At 39.3% G+C, this 23,849-nt stretch overlaps 1 protein-coding gene and 2 pseudogenes across 10 annotated transcripts in view; 2 read left to right on the top strand and 1 right to left on the bottom strand.

Moving 5' to 3' along the window:
* The window catches only part of DNAH12 (dynein axonemal heavy chain 12), a 262,335-nt gene that overhangs the window by 33,621 nt on the left and 204,865 nt on the right, over positions 1–23,849 (top strand). For 9 of the 10 annotated variants that reach the window (XM_047447667.1, XM_011533468.2, XM_047447668.1 and 6 more), the window contains 7 exons: positions 11,435–11,624; positions 13,202–13,274; positions 13,874–14,032; positions 14,576–14,771; positions 18,210–18,398; positions 19,935–20,091; positions 21,002–21,093. In XM_047447667.1, coding sequence (XP_047303623.1) covers positions 11,435–11,624; positions 13,202–13,274; positions 13,874–14,032; positions 14,576–14,771; positions 18,210–18,398; positions 19,935–20,091; positions 21,002–21,093 — 1,056 coding nt within the window. Of the gene's footprint in view, positions 1–11,434; positions 11,625–13,201; positions 13,275–13,873; positions 14,033–14,575; positions 14,772–18,209; positions 18,399–19,934; positions 20,092–21,001; positions 21,094–23,849 lie in introns of those variants that run through there. The other variant, XM_047447669.1, reaches the window with a different exon arrangement.
* RNF7P1 (ring finger protein 7 pseudogene 1) lies at positions 2,337–2,942 on the top strand (annotated as a pseudogene).
* RNU6-1181P (RNA, U6 small nuclear 1181, pseudogene) lies at positions 9,859–9,964 on the bottom strand (annotated as a pseudogene).

The raw sequence follows: 23,849 nt of genomic DNA, 5'->3' as shown, positions 1-23,849 counted from the left end.
AATATTTGCGTGTATGTGTTTAGTATCCTCATTGTTCCTAGCCAGGCATACAGTCATTCACTCCTGAGCCCACTGCTCTTGGCAATATGGCTTCTAGGAATTCCATCACTTCATCATGAATGTCATCAATAACTACTAACTGCCAAATTCAAAGGATATTTTTTCTTTTATTTATTTATTTTTTTTTTTTGAAATGGAGTCTCACTCTGTTGCCCAGGCTAGAGTGCAGTGGCGTGATCCTGGCTCACTGCAAACTCCATCTCCCAAGTTCTAGTGATTCTCCTGCCTCAGCCTCCTGAGTAGCTGGGATTACAGACATGTGCCACCACACCCACCTAAATTTTGTATTTTTAATAGAGATGGGGTTTCACCATGTTGGCCAGGCTGGCCTCGAGCTCCTGACCTCAGGTAATAAACCCATCTCAGCCTCCCAAAGTGATGGGATTACAGGTGTGAGACATCTCGCCTGGCCAAAAGATATTTTTTCTATACTTCTCTCTCTTGGACCTCCACCTGTCTCTTTTTTGAGACACAGTCTCCCTCTTGTCAGCTAGGCTGGCGTGCAGTGGTGCGATCTTGGCTCACTGCTACCTCTGTCTCCCGGGTTCAAGCGATTCTTCTGCCTCAGCCTCCTGAGTAGCTAAGATTACAGGCGCCTGCCACCATGCCGAGCTAATTTTTGTATTTTTAGTAGAGACAGGGTTTCACCATGTTGGCCAGGCTGGTCTTGAACTCCTGACCTCAAGTGATCCACCCACCTTGGCCTCCCAAAGTGCTGGGATTACAGGCGGAGCCACCGCACCCAGCCTCTACCTGTCTTTTTTAAAAAACTTTGATTAGTGGAACAGAATAGATGACCTAGAAATAGACGCACACAAGTATAGCCAGCTGATTTTTTCTTTTTTCTTTTTTTTTAGAGACAGGGGTCTCTCTTTGCTGCCCAGACTGGTCTTGAGCTCCTGGGCTCAAGTGATCCTCCTGCCTCAGCTTCCTGAGTAGCTGGGACTACAAGAGCATGCCACCATCCCCCTGATTTTTGACTAAGTTGCGAAAATCATTCAGTGGAGGAAGAATAGTCTTTTCAATGAATGGCGGAAAGCAATTGGATATCCATAAAATAAAAAAAACCTCAGCCTAAAGCTCCCACCTTGTACAAAAATTAACTAAAAATTGATCATAGGTGTAAATGTAAAACATAAAACTATAAAAAAATTTAGAAAAAGGCATAGGATAAACATAAACTATAAAACTTTTAGAAAAATCTAGCCTAGGCAAAGAGTTCTTAGGTATGTCCTCGAAAGCACAATCCAGAATTTTTTTTTTTTTTTTTTTTTTTTTTTTTTTTTTTTTGAGACAGAGTCTCACTTTGTCGCCCAGGCTGGAGTGCAATGGCGCGATCTCGGCTCACTGCAACCTCCACCTCCCCAGATCAAGCAATTCTCCTGCCTCAGCCTCCTGCAGAAAATTTTTTAAAACTCAGTAAATTAGACTTCATCAAAATTAAAAGCTATTGCTCAGTGAAAGACCCTGTTAAGAGGATGAAAAAACAAGCTACACACTGGGAGAAAATATTCACGAATTGGCTATCCAACAAAGGACTTGTATCTAGAATATATAAATAACTCTTTAAACTCAGCAGTATGAAAGCAAAAAATCTGATTAGAAAATGGGTAAAAACGGGCCGGGTGCTCACACCTGTAATCCCAGCACTTTGGGAAGCCGGGGTGGGCGGATCATGAGCTCAGGAGATCGAGACCATCCTGGCTAACACGGTGAAACCCCGTCTCTACTAAAATACAAAAAATTAGCTGGGCGTGGTGGCGGGCGCCTGTAGTCCCAGCTACTCGGGAGGCTGAGGCAGGAGAATGGCGTCAACCCGGGAGGCGGAGCTTGCAGTGAGCCGAGATGGTGCCACTTCACTCCAGCCTGGGTGACAGAGCAAGACTCCGTCTCAAAAAAAAAATAATAATAATAAATAAAATAATAAAATAAAAATAAAAAGGAAAAGAAAATGGGTAAAAACGGTCAGGCGCAGTGGCTCATGCCTGTAATCCAAGCACTTTGGGAGGCCGAGGCGGGCGGTTCGAGACTAGCCTGGCCAACATGGTGAAACCGTCGCTACTAAAAATACAAAATTAGCTGAGTGTGGTGGCACACACCTGTAATCTCAGCTACTAGGGGTGCTGAGGCAGGAGATCGCTTGAACTCCGGAGGCAGACGTTGCAGTGAGCCGAGATTGCGCCACTGCACTCCAGTCTGGGCGACAAGAGCGAAACTCCGTCTCAAAAAAGAAAGGAAAAGAAAATAGGTAGAAGAAAGATAAGGTAACGCTGTAGCCACAGAGCCGCCACAGCCTCCGGCTTTCCCCAACCCAACGTCGGCCATCGGCTCCGCGGCGCTACCATGGCCGACGTGGAAGACGGCGAGGAACCCTACGCCCTGACCTCTCACTCCAGGAGCGCAGGCTCCAAGTCGGGAGGCGACAAGATGTTCTAGCTCAAGAAGTGGAACGTGGTGGCCATGTGGAGCTGGGCCGTGGAGTGAGATATGTGCGCCATCTGCAGAGTCCAGGTGATGGATGCCTGTCTCAGATGTCAAGCTGAAAACAAACAAGAGGACTGTGTTGTGGTCTTGGGAGAATGTAATCATTCCTTCCGCAACTGCTGCATGTCCCTGTGGGTGAAACAGAACAATCGCTGCCCTCTCTGCCAGCAGGACTGGGTGGCCCAAAGAATCGGCAAATGAGAGCGGTTAGAAGGCTTCTTAGTGCAGTTGTTCAGAGCCTTGGTGGATCTTGTTATCAAGTGCCCTTCAAAGGCTAGAACACTCCAGGGGATTACTTCTTCAAATAGGAGTCGATGGATCTGTGGTCCTTTGGGACACATCAAAGGCTTGGTTTAGCATTTTGTCAGTTTTATTTTCAGAAATTCTCTACAATTAAGAAGATAATTTATTAAAGATGATCCTTTCTACCTCTGTGGTATGTGTCGCACACATAGCTTAGGAGTGCTATAAAAAAGGAGAGAACTCCAAACTGAATCACCTTTATAATTTACCCATTTCTATACAACAGGCTGTGGAATCAGTTTCATTCAGAGGAGAACTTTTTGCATGCTTACGGTTGATCAGTTAAAAAAGAATGTTATGGTAACAAATAAAGTGCAGTTTAAACCCCCTCCTCCCAAAAAGAAAGATATGAACAGACATTTTACCATAGAGGATACACGGATGGCAAATAAGCACGCGAAAGATGTTCAACATCATTAGCCGTTATGGTAATACAAATTAAAACCTTGATTCGTTTTCACTACATACCTATTAGGATGGCTGAAATAAAAATCAGTGACAATTTCAGCTGACTTTTGACACCACTGACCATTTATTTCCTTTCTAACATTCCTTTATGTTTATTCATCTGGTTCTCTATTATTTCTCTGTCATCTCCACAGGTTCCTCTTTCTTGACTGGCTGTAGCCACTCTTCTCTTTCCTTGAATCTCCATGGATGATTCTCTCCTTTTCTGATTTCAGCTACCTTTCATATATTGATGACTCCCAGAGACTTTTTTGCACAAATACCTCAGAATCAACGTGTCAAAAAAATGAGACCACAAGCTTCCTCCATAAGACTCCTCTTGCACATTTTCTATTCTAGTTGTTATCACCATCAATCCGGTTACTCATGCTTAAAATATCTGAATCTGAACTTCTTGTTCCCCTTCCCCAACTACCTCCCTCCCATATGCTTAGTTCCCAAGAGCTCTATATAGTTCTCAAAACAGTCATTTTCTTGTCCTAGCCTTAGATCAGAGCTTCATCTCTTATCTTGACCACAGCAGCCAACAGCAGCTTTTCTTTCTTTCTTTTCTTTTCTTTTCTTTTTTTTGAGACAGAGTAGTCTTGCTCTGTCACCCAGGCTGGAATCCAGTGGGGCAACCTAAGCTCACTGCACCCTCCACCTCCCGGCTTCAAGCAATTCTTGTGCCTCAGGCTCCCAAATAGCTGGGATTACAGGCACATGCCACCATGCCTGGCTAATTTTTTATATTTTTAGTAGAGACAGGGTTTCACCATGTTGGCCAAGCTGGTCTCAAACTCCTGACCTCCAGTGATCCACCTGCTTCAGCTTCCCAAAGTGCTGGGGTTACAGGTGTGAGCCACCGTGCCCGGCCAGGAATTGCTTCTTAATCAACTACTATGATATCGAGCACTAAAAATAGTTACTTAATGAATGATTGATGAATGAATAAATATAAAAACACATGTTCAGTAAAATGTAACAGCTGTTATAATAGAAGTGTGAAGAGACTACAGTGAGGGCATAATATAGAAAGTTTTTTTTTTTATGTTTTCTGTTTTTTGAGACAGTTTCTCACTCTGTCACCCAGGCTGGTGTGCAGGGGAGTGATCTTGGCTTACTGCAACATCTGCTTTCCAGGCTCAAGCAATCTCTTAGCCTCAGCCTCCCGAGGAGCTGGGACTACAGATGTGAGGCACCACGCTTGGATAATTTTTATTTATTTATTTATTGTAGAGGTGGGGTTTCCCCATGTTGCCCAGACTGGTCTCTCACTCCTGAGCTGAAAGGGATCCACCTGCTTCTACCTCGCAAAGTGCTGGGATTACAGGCATGAGCCACCGTGCTGGGCCAGGGAGTTTTCAAGAAAAATTTTGAAAGTACATCACTTGACTTAGATAGTGTTTTGCTAAGGAAGATTATATACTTTAATTCTAAGGGTCAAACATATTTTTATTTTAGGAGATGAAATGGTTTTAGAAAGGTATAAGTTATAGATACATAATTAGAATAATGAATTTAAATTTCATTTTTTCTTTCTTTTTTTCTGCAACAAAAACCACATTCAATAAATTTCCTTTCACTATATAGTCATATAATAATTTTATTCAAGCTTAGTTTTCTATCTAATATTTCAGTGCTTGACCCTGACCTGCTTTCTAGAACTGCTATAGGTTTGGGGTATTGAGAAAATATCATCTTTGTCTGTATAATTTATTTATTCATGAGATTCTTAACAAATATCTATGCATACTTGATCCTGTGCTAGATGCTGAAGATTGATGGACAAGATGGACATATAAGCCCTTATGAAGCTTATACTTTAATGAGGAAGACATATAATAATTAAATAAAATTTTTCTATTTCATTTAATAAATAAAATTGTGATAAGTACTGTGAAGGAAATACAGGGTAATATGGTAGATAGTGACTGGTGAGGGAGTGGGGCCATATTAGGCATGTGGTTAGAGAAGGCGTCCCTGAGGTGGTGACATTTATGGAGACCTGAATGGTAGAAAGGAGCCAGCCGTGGAAAGACCTGGGGTTGAGAATTTCCCAACAGAGGGAACAGCTAAGTTTAAGTCACCTGAAGGAGAAAACAACTGGGTATGTTCCAGGAACTGAAAGAAGGCCAGCTGCTGATTGAGCTCATGGGAAAGTATAAAATAAACTTGAAAAGGGGGTCAGGAGCCAGAGATGAGGGCCTTGTAGGCTATGATAAGTTGCTTGGATTTTACTCAGAGTGGCAATTGGAAGTCATTGGAGGATTCTACCCATGGGGATAACATAACTTGATTTACTTTTAATGATAAAAAGTCACTTTGACAATTATATGAAAAAGGCCACTTAGATTCTTTAGAAGATGGATTGTGGCTACGGCAAAAGTATAAAGGAAGAACCAGGTAGTTGTACAAGATAACAGTCTAGGTGAGAGAGAATAGTTTAGACTAGAGTGATAGCAATAGAGCTAGAGAGAAATTGTTAGATTCAGGACATATTTTGGATGTAAATGCGACAGGACTTGCAGGTAGGGTGCATGTGGGCAGTGAGAAAAAGAGGAACCAAGGATGATTCTTAGGCTTTGGTCTGATTTTGCAGGGTAATTGGCGACACTTATTATTAAGATCATCTAGAGAGGAGGGAAGAGCTGGAGTAGGGAGAGGACCAATTTCATTGCTAGACAGAGGTCAGCCCATTGATATAGTGAGGGACTGGGGACTATCACACAAGAATTTTAAGATTAGGCAGTACATGGGCCGGGCATGGTGGCTCATGCCTGTAATCCCAGCACTTTGGGAGGCCGAGTCGGATGGATCACAAGGTCAGGAGTTCGAGACCAGCCTGACCAACATGGTGAAACCCCATCTCTACTAAAAAGAAAAAAATTAGCCGGGCATGGTGGCCCACGCCTGTAATCCCAGCTACTCAGGAGGCTGAGGCAGGAACATCACTTGAACCCAAGAGGTGGAGGTTTCAGTGAGTCAAGATCATGCCATTGCACTCCAGCCTGGGCGACGGAGGGAGACTCCATCTGAAGAAAAAAAAAAAAAAAAAAAAAAAAAGACTAAGCAGTACATTAATGGAGTGGACATAGAAAATGTCTTTCTGTAAGAATTTTGGAGTGAGCAACTAATTGAAAAAAAATAAAAGTAAGAGACAAAAGAAAAAATGTCCATCTAGGCTACACATTTAAAAAATCTTTTTATCTCAAAATAATTTTAGACATACGGAAAAGTTGCAAAAAAGAGTACAAAGAATTCCCCTGTATGCTTTATGTGTTCCCATAATGTTAACATCTTTGCCTGTAACAATGATTACTATGGTTGTTGCCAAATAGTAATTTTTCTATCATTTCTTTTACATTTTTTGTTGGAATTCTGTAGTAAGAAAGAACTTTTAATATTTTTCTTCGCTTATTCATTCATTTAGATCAGTGTGGACTATAGATTTTTACTTTAACTATTAAGTTATAATGTATTATTATTATTAATAATAATTATTTTGTAGAGATGGGGTTTTGCTCTGTCGCCCAGGCTGGAGAGCAGTGTTGTGATCATGGCTCACTGAAGCCTTGAACTCCTGGGCTCAAGCCATCCTCCCACCCCAGCCTCCTGAGTAGCTGGGATTACAGGCATGCGCCACAAGGCCTGGCTTTATTATTAATTTGAAGTTCAGTTGTTCCACATTTGGCCAGTGGGAGCCCTTAAAGTTGACTCTTTCGTCTTTTTTTTACATATCCCATCATTCTTTGAGCACATCCTTACTTTCTGGCACAATAAGATGTTCCAGGATCATGCTATATATACTTTTTCTATTCTAGCCCTGTAATCAGTCATTTCTCCAGGGATTTTTGGCTCCTTTTAGTGGAGAATGGTATTTAAAAACCATGATATGTGTGTTAAATGTGCTCCTTGATACTGAGTGTCATTGCTTCCTGGCTTTCTCAGCAGAAGATCTAGAAAATAATTATTTCTCTCTCTCTCTCTCAAAACCCATGGATTCATACTGATACCTCCTATTCCAGTAACATCCCAGGGTTTATTCTAGCCTGTCCCCCTTTCTCTATGCATAGCTTCCTTCTCTATTAGTGAGGAATCTGGCTTTCATCCATTAGCCACAAGGTTTACTTATTTTGTTAAATCCTAGAGTATACATAAATAATTTCAAAATTGCTAACTCATACTACTGTGAAAAACAAACCTCACCATAGTTTAATATTCACCTATAGTCTTTTGTACTTAGCATAAGGATATATGGTTAAAATATTGTGTTCAGTATTGGTTAGTTCTACACTCCTTTTCAATAGGTAATTATTAATACATTTTCAGCTAGGTAATTATTAATAACTTGAAATTCAGGTAGGTTCATTGGTTTGTTTGTTTTCATTTGGAGTTTCTTTTCTCCCTCATTCATGATGATATTTTTTACTTATACTTTGAGCAGGTAAAACAACAGCAAGGTTTAAAATCAGAACTATACCAAAAGTACACCTCAGAGAAGCATCTCCCATCCCTTCCACCCTGTTCCCATGCCCCCATACTTTCTGTCTGTTCCAAGCTACTCTTTCATATAACCAATCTCATTAATTTTTGATTTATCCTTCCTGTGTTTAATTTTTTTAAAAAATGAACAGGTATGTTTTCTTACACAAAATGCGTCATACTGTAGATACTCTTGCATTTTGCTTTTTTTTGTTTATTTATTTTTCTTTTTTTTTTTTTTGAGACAGAGTCTTACTCTGTCACCGAGGCTGGAGTACAGTGGCACAATCTCGGCTCACTGCAACCTCTGCCTCCCGGGTTCAAGCGATTCTCCTGCCTCAGCCTCCCAAGTAGCTGGAATTACAGGTTCCCCCCACCATGTCCAGCTAATTTTTGTATTTTTAGTAGAGACGGGGTTTCACCATGTTGGCCAGGCTGGTTTCAAACTCCTGATCTCAGGTGATCCGCCCGCCTCAGCCTCCCAAAGTGCTGGGATTACAGGCGTGAGCCACTGCACCCGGCCGCATTTTGTTTTTAACTTAATAATGTATCCTAGAAATCGCTCCATATCAGTTTTTAGAGATCTTTCTCATTTTTCACTATTGCTGCACAGAACACGAATGTATGCATCAGCCACTCTTAAATGTTTCCAGTATTTTGCTGCAATGAATACCTTGTATATGTATGCTTTCATACTGCTGGAGGTATTGTTTTAATTTCTCTAAGTGGGACTTCAATATGTAGTCTTATTAGATATTGCAAAATTTCTTTCCAAAATGTGCTAGCAATTTATGAGAGTGTTTGCTTCCCCATAGTTTCACAAAAGAATGTGGGGGTCATATTTAAAAAAAAATTTTTGTCAATCTGATATGTGACAGATGGTATCTCAGGGTAGTTTAAATTTGCTTTCTGTAATTATGAATAAGATTATACGTTTAAAATATGGTTTAAGTGCCATTTTAATTATATTTTTATTGTGAAATGTTAGTTTATATCTTCTGCCCATTTTTCTGTTGTAGTTTTGATGTTATTTCCCCCTAAATGTTTATAAATTGTGATAAAATACACATAACATAAAACCATCTTAACCATTTTTAAGGGTACAGTTTAGTAGTATTTTTTTTATTATAAGTTTTTAAATTTTACTTTATGTTCCGGGATACATGTGCAGAACGTGCAGGTTTGTTACATAGGTATACGTGTGCCATGGTGGTTTGCTGCACCTATTGACCCACTCTCTAGGATCCCTCTCCTTGCCCTCCATCCCCCAGTGGGCTTTGTTTTGTGTTACTCCCTTCCCTGTGTCCATGTGTTCTCATTGTTCACCTCCCACTTATGAGTGAGAACATGCGGTGTTTGGTTTTCCATTTCTATGTTAGTTTGCTGAGGATGATGGCTTCCAGCTTCATCTATGTCCCTGCAAAGGACATGATCTCATTCCTTTTTATGCCTGTGTAGTATTCCATGGTGTATATGTACCACATTTTTTTTTTTTTTTGAGATGAAGTCTCACTCTGTTGCCAGGCTGGAGTGCAGTGGTGCGATCTCGGCTCACTGCAATCTCCGCTTCCTGGATTCAAGCAATTCTCTGCCTCAGCCTCCCAAGTAGCTGGAATTACAGGTGCCTGCCACCACGCCTGGCTAATTTTTTTGTATTTTTAGTAGAGACGGGGTTTCACCATCTTGACCAGGCTGGTCTTGAACTCCTGACTTCATGATCCACCCGCCTCGGCCTCCCAAAGTGTTGGGATTACAGGTGTGAGCCACCATGCCTGGCCATGTACCACATTTTATTTATCCAGTCTATCATTGATGGGCATTTGGGTTGGTTCCATGACTTTGCTATTATAAGTAGTGCTGCAGTAAACATATGTGTGCATGTGTCTTTATAGTAGAATAATTTATATTTCTTTGGGTGTATTCCCAGTAATGGGATTGCTGGGTCAAAAGGTATTTCTGGTTCTAGATACTTGAAGAATCGCCATACTGTCTTCCACAATGGTTGAACTAATTTACATTCCCACCAACAGCGTAAAAGTGTTCCTATTTCTCCACAGCCTCGCCAGCATCTACTGTTTCAAAAATATGGAATGCTTCACGAATTTGTGTCCATCCTTGCACAGGGGCCATGCTGATCTTCTCTGTATCATTCCAATTTTAGTATATGTGCTGCCAAAGCAAGCACTGTTTAGTAGTATTTTCACATTCTTGTGCAGCGAATCTCCAGAACATTTTCATCTTCAAAACTGAAACTCTATACTTATTAAATAACAACTCCTCATTTCCTCTTCCCTGTAGCCCCTGGCAACTACTATTTTGTTTTCTGTTTCTATAAATTTAACTGCTCTATTTACTTTATATAAGTGGAATAATGCAATACTTGTTTTCTTGTGATTGGCTTATTTCACTTAGCATAATGTCCTTAAGGTTCACCCATCCCCTAAATTTTAAAGCATTCTTTACACTTTGTCTGAGATGTATGTTGCAAATATTTTCTGCCAGATTGTCAATTGTCTTTTGACATTTTAAATTGTTTTTGTTATGCAAACATTTATGTTTTTATGTAGTAAAAATTAATCTATTACTTGTTTCCTTTTTTGTATCTAGTATTTGAATCATAGCTAGGAAGGTTTTTCCTATACTCAAGTTATAAAAGACTTCATCTATGTTTTTCTTCCTGATCCTTGTATAGTTTCATTGTTTAAGTTAAATCCTGGAGTTTGTTCTTATGTATGGTGGAAGGTATGAATTATTTTATCTTTTTCCAAATGGCTAACCAGTTGTTCCAGAAATAGTTATTAAAACCTTCATATTTTTCCCAGTGATTTGAGATGCCATGTTTATCATATGCTAAATTTTCTGATATACTGGTGTATTTTTGGACTTTCTGTTGTTTTCTACTGGTCTGTCTATCCATACACCTGTGCTACACCAGGCTTTCTGGTATGTTCTAATGTCTCCTAGGGCTAGCCCTCCATTGCAGATTTTCTTTCTCAGGGTTTTCTTGGCTATTCTTGCATGTTTATTTTTCCACATGAACTTTAGGATCAACTTATCTAATTCCATAAAAATGTATGTAGATAATTTTATTGGTATTGTGTTAAATCAATTTTGGGAAAAGTGAAATTTTCATGATGTTAAAATGTCTTTACTAAGATCAAGTGTCTTTTCATTCATTCGTGTCTATTTTTAGTGAGACTATTCATTCTTATGGGAGAATTTATGAAATTATATTATACTACTATTGTACTGGAATATAATCTCAAGAGAGCATGGGCTTTGTCTGTTTTGTTCAGCTACTATATACCCAGCATTTAGAACAATGTCTGAATATTTGTTGAATCGGTGGATATATTATAATAATAAGTTAGATAATAAGGAATAATAAGTTAGGTAAAGAATCTTCATTTTGCCTTGAGAAAATGAAAACCATACTAAGAATATTAATTTGGCAAGAATTCATCATAAATAAAGAAAAAGATAAAATGGTTTCTTTGTGGGATGTACTTTTGGATTAAATGGTTTTTATTCTGAAAATGTTATTTTTCAGAATATTTTTAATCTGAAAAAATGTTGTCTTAGGAAGGGAGAGTTCAGGAGTTACACTGAAATGATACAACCATGCAGAACATTTAATTTTTTCTTATGTTCTCAGTTCAACTATATTTATATGAAGCAATGTGTAGAAAGTAGTCCTTTAGTACCTATTCAGCAGGAATGGCTGGATCACATGTTAAGGCTGATACCTGAGTCTTTAAAGGAAGGGAAAGAAAGAGAAGAACTTCTTGAAAGTCTCATAAATGAGGTGTCAAGTGACTTTGAAAACAGCATGAAGAGATATTTGGGTAAGTAGCATCTAACACACACCAGGCTTCTTTCACCTTGGCCTCCCCCCGTCCCCACTGAATCAAAAATAGAAATAAGCAAAATGAGTAATGAACACTATGTATTTAAACTATATCTGGTTTTTTTCTTCTTTTCTTTTTATTTTTTTTCTTCGAGACATGATCTCTGTCGCCCAGGCTGGAGTGCAGTGGTGCTATTTCGGCTCACTGCAGCCTCCGCCTGCTGAGTTGAAGCGATTCCCCTACCTCAGCCTCCCGAGTACCTGGAACTTCAGGCACACACCACTATGCCCAGCTAATTTTTTTATTTTTTGGTAGAGATGTAGTTTCACCATGTTGACCAAGCTGGTCTAAAACTCCTGGGCTCAAGCCATCCACCCACCTCAGCCTCCCAAAGTGCTGGGATTACACGCTGAGCCACTCAGCCCAGCCTTAACTATATGTATTTCTTAGATACGATTTTTATTTAAAGTTTTTATTTTGAGTCTATACTTAAGTCAAAATCCTTACAATTTAAGGGTACTTTTTGTATTTTTTTTATTAGCTAACTTCTCTTTGATTTTTTACTTTGTCTTTATGATTTTAGCTATACTATTTATAGGTTTGCTAGAAAATACTAATATGTTTTGGGAGATTTATTAGGGGTATAATCTTTGCTATTTTTTAGAATAAACTTTTTTCCTTTTTAAAAATTGACAAATAAAAATTGTATATAATTATCATGTACAATACGTTTTGAAATATGTGTGGAATAGCTAAATTGAGCTAATTAACTGATGCATTTTTTTCACATATTTATCATTTTTTGTGTGTGGTGGGAACATAAAATCTACTCTTGACAATTTTCAAGGGTACAATAAATTGTTACTAACTAGTCACTATGTTGTATAATTGCTTTCTTTTTTTTTTTTTTTTTTTTTTTTTTTTTATGATGGAGTCTCACTCTGTCGCCCAGAATAGAGTGCAGTGGTGCAATCTCAGCTCACTGCAACCTCCACCTCCCAGGTTCAAGCGATTCTCTTGCCTCAGCCTCCCAAGTAGCTGGGACTACAGGCGCCTGCCACCATGCCCAGCTAATTTTTGTATTTTTAGTAGAGATGGGGTTTCACCATGTTGGCTAGCCTGGTCTCAAACTCCTGACCTCAGGTGATCTGCCCTCCTTGGCTTCTCAAAGTGCTGGAATTACAGGCATGAGCCACCGCGCTCGGCCTCCATGTCGCGTAATCTCTTGAACTTGTTCCCTCCTATCTAACTGAAATTTTGTAGCCTGTGACCAACATCCTCCCAGCCCCTGGTAGCCACCATGAAATGCATTTTTTTAAGTGGCCATGCTAGTGACTTTTGAGTAGATGGAATGTGAAAAACTGAGATCTTATTAAAGCTTTTCGTTATCTGAACTCTCAAGTAAGGCCAAAATACTACCAAGAACTTGATTTTGTTTCAAATAAAGGAGTTTTTTCTTACATTCCTTTTAATGCACAGTAAACTATACCATCCAAAATCAAAAGTTAGAAACTTTGATATTAATAGATTGTGCAGAGATTTTCAAGAAGCATTAATATATCCATGTATTTTAGTGCAGAGCGTTCTTGTGAAACCACCAGTTAAATCGCTTGAAGATGAAGGAGGTCCTTTACCTGAATCTCCTGTGTGAGTAAATTATTTTAAAAACAGTACTTCATCCAATTTTTGATATAGATAAAAAATAAACTGATCTTACCTTCAAGTATACAATTGTGATGCTCAAAGGTATTTTGAACACATCTAAAAAAAAAGTACTCTTGTTTTTACCTCAGAGGTATTCTCTCTACTATGCTCATTTAGTTCTGCATACATAACTGGGGAGATCTTTATGAATGCATAGCTTAACTTAGCCTTGAGTAAGCTTTGGGGTATGGCAGACAGATTTCTCCAGCGCTTTTCTTTAGTCCTAAAGACTGTGTTCTTTCATTTTTACCAGGATAACTGAGCCAAAGCACAGTGGAAGTTAGCAGAGCTCTCAGATCTGGCCCATCACTCTGCCTTACTCACAAATTATTTCTGTTCTCTCTGAAGATAATGCAGTTTTGAGTTCTTGATGTGTTTTTATTAAATGCATATATCTTAAGGTTCCCATTGCTGACCACAGCTCCCTCTTCTCAAGCCCCAGTTTTCTCACTTCAATACTAATTTCATGTTATAAGCATTATTTCCTAAAGTTTAGGGTGTATTATTTTCATCATGTTTGATATGGTGTTTTGCTTTTCCAGAGGCCTAGATTATTCTAATCCTTGGCATTCTAGCTATGTGCAGGCAAGAAATCAAATATTCTCTAATTTGCACATTATTCATCCAACTATGAAAATGTTACTGGACCTTGGTTATACAACATTTGCTGATACAGTTTTGTTGGACTTCACAGGAATTAGGTAAAATCCCGTTTAATTTAAAATTTGAATGTCTCCTTGCTTGAGTCTATATTTTTGACTGTATAATTTTTAAAATGGAATCCTAAATCTTCAACACTTTTCTCTAGATTTTAGAGTTTAAAAAAATGTATCTTGTTTGTTTCAACAATTGTGTGGGTTTTTTTTGGTTTTTTTTTTTTTTGTTTTTTTTTTCCCGTGATGGAGTCTTGCTCTGTCATCCAGGCTGGAGTGCAATGGTGCGATCTTGGCTCACTGCAAGCTTTGTCTCCCTGGTTCAAGCAATTATCCTGCCTCAGCCTTCCGAGTAGCTGGGATTACAGGCATACACCACCACACCCAGCTAATTTTTGTATTTTTAGTAGAGATGGGGTTTTACCATGTTGGCCAGGTTGGTCTTGAACTCCTGACCTCGTGATCTGCCTGCCTCAGCCTCCCAAAGTGCTGAGATTACAGGTGTGAACCACCGAGCCCGGCCCAACAATTGTGTTTTAAGACCAATATGTATCATTTGCTTCAAATCACATTTCTTTTTCTCATAAATAGAGCTAAAGGTCCAATTGACTGTGAATCACTGAAAACTGATCTATCAATACAAACTAGAAACGCAGAAGAGAAGATAATGAATACATGGTATCCAAAGGTTATAAATCTCTTTACCAAGAAGGAGGCACTAGAAGGTGTTAAACCTGAAAAATTGGATGCATTTTATAGCTGTGTTTCCACACTTATGTCAAATCAGGTACATACACTTTATATATATTAAATGATAATGTTATTAAAATTAGTTCAATATTTTAAATAGAATTCTACGTAAACATAGTGCTAAGTAATTATTTTGAAATAAAATATTTCTACTGTAATTTTATTTTAATAATTTTAGCAGAAAAATATTGTGTTTCTGAAACTATCTAAAATGAAAGGAAATCTAGAAGTATATATTAGTATTATGAGTAATTACTTGGCTCATGCCTAAAGGATATATAAGTTAATTATAGCTTTATTTGGAGTATGTTAACAAAAGAACTATTCTAGTAACATATTTTTGAATTTATTAGATTCCAAGTTGATTGATTCTCATTTTGTTCTCAGTAAAATCTTGGTTTAAAATGTTATTGATCATTGTATAAGAGGTATCTGGTGGAAAAAATTTTTAAAGTTATTGATCATCTTTAAATGACAAATAGGGAATTTTTAATTTTATGAAATTATATTTATGGCCTCCTCAAATTTTTACTGTTGAAGATATACAATTCTAGAAAAATAGTTTTGAAGAAAAACTTTCCCTTTCAGTAAAGACCTCCAACAATTCCATGAATTTTGTCTAGCATATTTAAAAGGATAATATACATATTTAATATCTAGTATGTAATGCTGTAACTAATACACATGGTTTCCTTTCTACCTTTACCCTCTTAAGAGGACTGTGATTATTTAATAAAAGTAAAGAGATGAGGAATGTCTTGAAGATCATTTAGAACCATGTTTGTTTGCTGGGCTAAATTCCCAACAGTTGGTTCTCTATAAGAAACCATTATTCGTACTTTAGAAGCTCCTTGTGCATGTTTCTAAGTTCCAGTGGCTTTACCTTCACCCAGTAGTGTGCTAGAAATATGGCTCTCCAGGAAAGAAAATCACCCTGAGGCTGGGCACGGTGTCTCACACCTCTAATACCAGCACTTTGGGAGGCCCAGGCAGGTGGATCACTTGAGCTCAGGAGTTCAAGACCAGCCTGGCCAACATGGCAAAACCTCCTCTCTACTAAAAATACAAAAATTAGCCAGGTGTGGTGGCATATGCTTGTAATCTCAGCCACTCAGGAGGCTGAGGCACGAGAATAGTTTGAGACCGAGAGGCGGAGGTTGTGGTGAGCCCAGATTGTGCCACTGCATTCCAGCCTGGGCAACAGAGTGAGACTCTGTCTCAAGATAATAAATAAATAAGTAAATAAATAAATAAATGAATAAACAAATAAAAGAAAAAGATAATTACCCTGATTTGTAGTGTTTGTCGACTTCTGTGGTGTAAATATTCCCACAGTGGTAAATTTCGAGCTTCTAAGAGTTTAGCAACTGGCTCACAAAATTCTTGAGTATTTAACAATTGGCTCTTGAGAGAACAGGAGCTAGTTCTAGCATTTCACTGTACCTCACTCCATGTGCATGTCCCCCCATTACACACTTACCTCTGGCTGTCAGACCTCCCCTCCCTTCAGTCTTTACCATGTTGTTTGATCTTCTGGAACATTTTCTGTACCAGGGACAGAATTACTAAAGAATGTGAAAAGTTCTGAGTCACCATTTTAAGATTGTTGATATTCTATTAAAAAATTAAGGTTTGGCTGGGTGTGGTGGCTCACGCCTGTAATCTCAGCACTTTGGGTGGCTGAGGTGGGAGGATCACTTGAGCCCAGGAGTTCAAGACCAGCTTGGGAAACAAAGTGAGACACTGTCTCTAGAAAAAAAATTAAAAATTAGCCAGGAATGGTGGCTCATGCCTATTGTCCCAGCTACTCAGGAGGCTGAGGTGGGAGGATTGCTTGAGCCCAGGATCCCAGGAGCTCGAGCCTGCTGTGAACTATGATTGTGCCACTGCACTCCAGCCTGGGCAACAGAGCAAGACCCAGTCTTAAAAAACAGAAACAGGCTCGGCGCAGTGGCTCACATCTGTAATCCCAGCACTTTGGGAGGCCAAGGTGGGTGGATTACCTGAGGTCAGGAGTTCGAGACCAGCCTGGCCAACATGGTGAAACCCTGTCTCTACTAAAACTACAAAAATTAGGCAGGCGTGGTGGCAGGCACCTGTAATCCCAGCTACTCAGGGGGCTGAGGCAGGAGAATTGCTTGAACCCGGGAGACAGAGGTTGCAGTGAGTCAAGATCGTGCCATTGCACTCCAGCCTGACCGACAGAGTGAGACTCTGTCTCAAAACAAAAACAAAAACCAAAAAACCAAAACCAAAAACAAAATTAGGGTTTGCATATAATGTTCTATTTATTGTTTTAGGTTACCTTTGTTAATGTGTGTTCTCACTTATTTGTGGGAGCTAAAAATTAAAACAGTTGAACTAATGGAGATAAAGAGTAGAAGGATGGTTACCAGAGGCTGGGAAAGGTAGTGGGAGAAGTGGGCGGGGGGTGGGGGGTGTGGTAAGTGGAGATGTTTAATGGGTACAAAAAAGTTGGAAAGAATGGATAAGCTGAGTGTGGTGGCTCACGCCTGTAATCCCAGCACTGTGAGAGGCCAAAGCAGGCGGGTCACTTGAGCTCAGGAGTTTGAGACCAGCCATGAGCAACGTGACAAAACCCTGTCTCTACAAAAAATACAAAAATTAGCCAGGCGTGGTAGCTTGTGAATGTAGTTCCAGCTACTCAGGAGGCTGAGGTGGGAGGATGGCCTGAGCCCAGCAGGCAGAGGTTGCAGTGAATCGAGGTCTTGCCACTGCACTCCAACCTGGGCAATGCTGTCTCAAAAACAAAAAGCAAACAAAACAAACAAAAAGAAAAAAGAAAAAAAAAGAGAGAAAAAAAGAAAAGAAAAAAGAATGAATGAATAAGACCTAGTATTTGCTAGCACAACTGGGTAACTACAGCAAAACATAATTTAATCATCCCTTTAAAAATAACTAAAAGAGTATAATTAGATTGTTTGTAACACAAAGGATAAATACTTGAAGTGATGGAAATCCCATTTACCCTGATGTGACTATTGCACATTACATTCCTGTATCAGAATATCTCATGTAACCCTTATATACACCTATTATGTACCCACAAATATTAAAAATTAATAAGAACATATCATGCTGATTAGCTGGGTGTGGTGGCACGCGCCGTAGTCCCAGCTACTCAGGAGGCTGAAACAGGAGGATTGCCTGAGCCCAGGAGTTCAAGGTTACAGTGAGCTATGATGGCACCACTGCACTGCAGTCTGGGCAACAGAGTGAGACACTGTCTTAAAAAAAAATATGTATATATATATGTGTGTGTGTGTGTGTGCATGTATGTATACACACATATATATAGTATGCTGAATGAAGATAATTTTCAATTAAATGGATTGATAGGATGTTTTAATTATAGACAATTATAATCAGATATAGACAATTATAATCAGTTTACTGATTTTAGTTAAAGGTTGAATTTGTACTCTCTAAAGTAACAGTGATTTATATCACGCAGCTAAAGGATCTATTAAGGAGAACTGTAGAAGGATTTGTAAAACTCTTTGACCCAAAAGATCAACAAAGGCTGCCAATATTTAAGATAGAATTGACATTTGATGACGACAAAATGGAATTTTATCCTACCTTTCAAGATTTGGAAGATAATGTCTTGAGTTTGGTGGAACGAATAGCCGAAGCTCTGCAGGTATTACATCTTTACCCATCGGGAAAGAATTTTAAATTATTTGAATTGAATCTCTATGCAGTGTATGTGTACATACAATGTTATGACTCTTTCTGTTATTTTCCTCCCCCAATTATTTCAAATTAGAAATTGCTTTCTCTTTGAAAAAGTCGCTTGAAGGCTGGAGATGACATTTTCCTTCTTAGAACTTTTCTTGTAGCTATGAATTGATTTTTTTATTTGCATGTCTCATCTCCTCTGAGTTGTGAGCTTCTTAAGAACAAGATCTAATTGATATTTGTTCTTTCTAGAGCTTTCTGGCATAATTACTTTGTCAATAAATATTTGTCAGCCGGGCGCAGTGCCTCACGCCTGTAATCCCAGCACTTTAGGAGGCCGAGGCAGGCGGAACACAAGGTCAGGAGATCAAGACCATCCTGGCCAACATGGTGAAACCTCATCTCTGCTAAAAATACAAAAATTAGCTGGGCATGGTGGCGCGTGCCTGTACTCCCAGCTACTCAGGAGGTTGAGGCAGGAAAACCCCTTGAACCAGGGAGTCGGAGGTTGCAGTGAGCCAAGATCACCCCACTGCACTCCAGCCTAGTGACACAGTGAGACTCCGTCTCAAAAAAAAAAAAACCAATAATAAATAAATAAATAAATATTTGACAAATATTTATTTGTCAGTAAATAATTAGTCAATAAATATTTGTTGGATGATAGAAAACTAACCCAACTTAAGGTTTTCTTTGTTTTGTTTTGTTTTGTTTGAGACAGGGTCTCACTGTGTTACCTAGGCTGAAATGCAGTGGCTATTCACAGACATGATCATAGCACACTGCTGCCTCGAACTCCTGGGCTCAAGTGATCTTCTTGCCTCAGCTTCCCAAGTAGCTGGGACAATAGGCATGTGCTACTGCACCTGGCCCAACTTGTTTTATGTTAGACTACAAACTATACAATTTTAAATTATTATTTTATGTCAAGTTATTTTTTCTTGGGCCATTGAAATCTGAAAAGAATGTTTTAAAATATAGTATAAGATCTACATATAGGCCAGGCGCAATGGCTCACGCCTGTAATCCTAACACTTTGGGAGGATGAGGCGGGCGGATTGCCTGAGCTCAGGAGTTCGAGACCAGCCTTACCAACACTGTGAAACCCCATCTCTACTAAAATACAAAAAATAGGCCAGGCATGATGGCTCACGCCTGTAATCCCAGGACTTTGGGAGGCTGAGGTGGGCGGATCACGAGGTCAGGAGTTCGAGACCAGCCTGACCAACATGGTGAAACCCCGTCTCTAAAAATACAAAAATTAGCTGGGCGTGGTGGCGTGCGCCTGTAATCCTAGCTACTCAGGAGGCTGAGGCAGGAGAATCGCTTGAACCTGGGAGGCGGAGGTTGCAGTGAGCCGAGATCGCACCAATGCGCTCCAACCTGGGTGATAGAGCAAGACTCCGTCTCCAAAGGAAAAAAAAAAAGATCTACATATAGATTAATTATACAGTTAGATATTTATTGTATACATTGTTATTATTTTTATTTGTGTTAGAATGTCCAAACAATCCCCTCTTGGCTATCAGGAACTTCAACACCAGTAAATCTTGACACAGAACTTCCTGAACACGTGTTACACTGGGCTGTTGATACACTGAAGGCAGCAGTACATCGGAACTTAGAAGGTGCAAGAAAGCATTATGAGACATATGGTGTGTATGACATACATAATATTATACCATTTGTCATCACTTTATTTGTGCTAGAATTTGGTCAGATGTTTGTTTGTCTGGGGCTGCCATGAAAGAACAGGGAGAGCCAGAAGTGAGCATAGGCGTAGCTTTTGGCAGAGTCAAGAATCCAACCCAGGGAGGCCGAGGCGGGCGGATCACAAGGTCAGGAGATCGAGACCATCCTGGCTAACACGGTGAAACCCCGTCTCTACTAAAAAATACAAAAAATTAGCCGGGCGTCGTGGCGGGCGCCTGTAGTCCCGGCTACTCGGGAGGCTGAGGCAGGAGAATGGCGTGAACCCAGGAGGCGGAGCTTGCAGTGAGCCGAGATCGCGCCACTGCTCTCCAGCCTGGGCGATAGAGCGAGACTCCGTCTCAAAAAAAAAAAAAAGAATCAAACCCAATACATTTTGTTGTCCAGTCCAAAGGGTGCATATGAACTGGAGCAGGGTGATAAAGTCAAAGGCAGAGAGAAGAAATGTTGGGAATAATTCAAGGGTAAAAGCAAGGTAGTTTCTGAGAATAGTTTCAAAGAGCCTGTAGCTCAATTTTATTGGTCTGTAGTCTTCTCAAGTGTGTGTGAGGTCAGGATGTATGGTTATTCTTTGACATTCTATTAACCAATATCTTCTATTAATTGGTGTATATGTACCCCTAAGTTATTCTTAAAAGCCTCAAATACTCTAATACCTTTGTTTTAAAATGTCTGTTTAACTTGGTTTCCTTTTATTCTACCCATTTTCTTAAAATATAGTAAATCATGTATGTTAATACTCTATTAATAATAATATTTAATTGAGTAGGTCCCCATTCCATGATCATATAAAAAAAGTGTTTTATCTTCTAAAAAGGGTATTATTGAGATTTTAATTAGATTATTAATTTTCAGTTGAAAAATATAATTGGCTCCTTGATGGGACTGCAGTTGAGAATATAGAGACTTTTCAGACAGAAGATCATACTTTTGATGAATATACAGAGGTAAGCGGTAATTCTGTTTTTATTAATGCGTTTTGAATTTTTTTGTAACATTAGGATCTTTCCATTCTAAAAAGTAAATGCTTAAATAGAATTTCTTATTTAAAATATCATTTCAGTAAAACTCATTGTCTTACCTTACAATTTCTTTAGTCATTCATTTACTCATTTATTAATTCAATAAAAATTTCCTTATCACATTCAGACACCTAACAAGATTTGGTGATGCAAAAATAAATGAAAGGGTGGGAATGGTGGCTCATGCCTGTAATCCCAGCACTTTGAGACGCCAAGGCAAGAGGATTGCTTGAGCCCAGGAATTTGAGACCAGCCTGGGCAACATAGTGAGACCGTGTCTCTACGAAAGTTTTTTTGTTTTTGTTTTTGTTTTTGTTTTTGAATTAGCCAGGTATGGTGGTGCATGCCTGTAGTCCTTCTTACTCAGGAGGCTGAGGCAAGAGGATAACTTGAGCCCAGGAGGTTGAGGCTGCAGTGAGCTCTGATTGCACCACTGTACTCCAGCTGGGCAACAGGGCGAGACACTGTCTTAAAAAAAAGGCATAAGCACTGTCTTCAGGAGCTTATATTTGGCCTGGAAGCCTGACACGGAAATAACAACTATAGAGATAAGTACTAGAATAGAGATATGGACAAAGTGTTGTTTGCTTTGGGAAATTGGTGAAGAGATTATGCAAGAAGTGAAATGTGAGTTGGGCTTTGAAATAGATTTTATAGGTGGAGAAGGGAGGGGATGTAGCATGAACCAGGGTGTTCAGAGAATATAAATGAATGAAAATAGTTAAAGAATAGGGAACAGGGACACAGTACATGGAAGATTTAGAATATGATGAAGTTCGAAATGTAAGTTGGAGCCACATGGGAAAATCCTGGAGTATCTTTGCTCAAGAGTTTGTACTTTGTTCTGAAGGTTTTTCGCTGTGGAAGTAATCTATTCGGATCTGAGTTTTAGAAAGATAATTCTGGGCTGGGTGCAGTGGCTCACACCTGTAATCTCAGCACTTTAGGAGGCCAAGGCGGGTGGATCACCTGAGGTCAGGAGTTCGAGACCAGCCTGGCCAACATGGCGAAACCCCATCTCTACTAAAAATACAAGAATTAGCCAAGCATGGTGGTCCATGCCTGTAATCCCAGCTACTAGGGGGGGCTGAGGAGTAGGATCGCTTGAACCTGGGAGGCGAAGGTTGCAGTGAGCGGAGCTCATGCCACTGCACTCCAGCCTGGGCAACAGAGTAAGGCTCCATCTCAAAAAAAAAAAAAGGTAATTCTGATAGTAGTGGGGAAAAGGCAATTGAAAGAAAAAAGATTCCTACCTCCTCAAGGGACCTTGTTCTATTGGTTAAAACTGGCATATTTCTTCATTTTCCCCCTTTCTATTGACTGTTTAGATTTTTTAATGTATACTTTATACATTTTAATTTTTCTAACATCTTAAATTTTAAACATATAGAGTTTTGTTTTGTTTTTTGAGACAGGGTCTCACTCTCTTGCCCAGGCTGGAGTGCAGTGGCATGATCATGGCTCACTACAGCCTTAACCTCCCGGGTTCAAGCAGTCCTCCACTTCAGCCTCCCGAGTAGCTGAGACTGGAAGCGTACACCTCCATGCCTGGCTAATTTTTTTAAGAAGTATATATATATATATATATATATATATATTTTTTTTTTTTTTTTTTGTAGAGATGGTGTCTCCTTATGTTTCCCCAGGTGGTTTTGAACTTCTAAGCTCAAGCAGTCCTCCCACCTTGGCCTCTCAAAGTGTTGGGATTGTAGGCATGAGCCACCACACCCAGCCTGTACAGAGAAATTGAAGGAATTTTACAAAGCATACCACCTACATTCTAGGATTTTGCTATATTTATTTGTCATTCCATCCCTTTTAAAAATTCTTTATTAATTTCAAGAGAAATTAACTTTAAAAAATCAACTTGACATTTAGTTTACATACAATAAACTGTACCCATTTTAATTGTACAGTTATATGAGTTTTGACAAATGTGTACACTTACGTAACCATCACCAGAATTAAGATGTAGAACATTTCTCCTACCTCAGAAACCTTCCTTATACCCCATCCTGGTCAATTCTCCCCAACTCTGACCTCAGGAAACTGCTGACATGCTTTCTGTTACTATAGATTAGGTTTTTGTTTTCTAAAGTTTCAGATAAATAGAATCATATATACATACTCTTTTGCATCTGATTTCTTTTACTAGCATAAAGTTTTTGAGATTTATTTGTTTTGTGTCAGTAGTTTATTCCTCTTTTGTTTTTGTTTTTGTGTGTGTGTGTTTTTGTTTTTGTTTTTGAGACGGAGTCTTGCTCTGTTGCCCAGGCTGGAGTGCAGTGGTGCAATCTCGGCTCACTGCAACCTCCGCCTCCCAGGTTCAAGCCATTCTCCTGCTTCAGCCGCCCGAGTAGCTGGGATTACAGGCACCCATCACCATGGCCAGCTAATTTTTTGTGTTTTTAGTAGAGATGGGGTTTCACCATGTTAGCCAGGATGGTCTCGACCTCCTGACCTCATGATCCGCCCACCTCGGCCTCCCAAAATGCTGGGATTACAGGTGTGAGCCACCGCGCCTAGCCTAACTTATTCCTTTTATTGCTTAGTAGTATTTCACTGTATAGGTATATAGTTTCTTTATTCATTCACGTTTTGATGGATATTTGAGATGTTTCCAGTTTTTGGCTATTATGAATAAAGTTACTATGGTCTTCTGTTTACAAGTCTTTGTGCGG

Source organism: Homo sapiens, chromosome 3, assembly GCF_000001405.40.
Source record: "Homo sapiens chromosome 3, GRCh38.p14 Primary Assembly".
Lineage (NCBI taxonomy): Eukaryota > Metazoa > Chordata > Mammalia > Primates > Hominidae > Homo > Homo sapiens.
The sequence above is the reverse complement of the archived record's forward strand: the minus strand, read 5'-3'. Positions and strand labels throughout refer to the sequence as shown.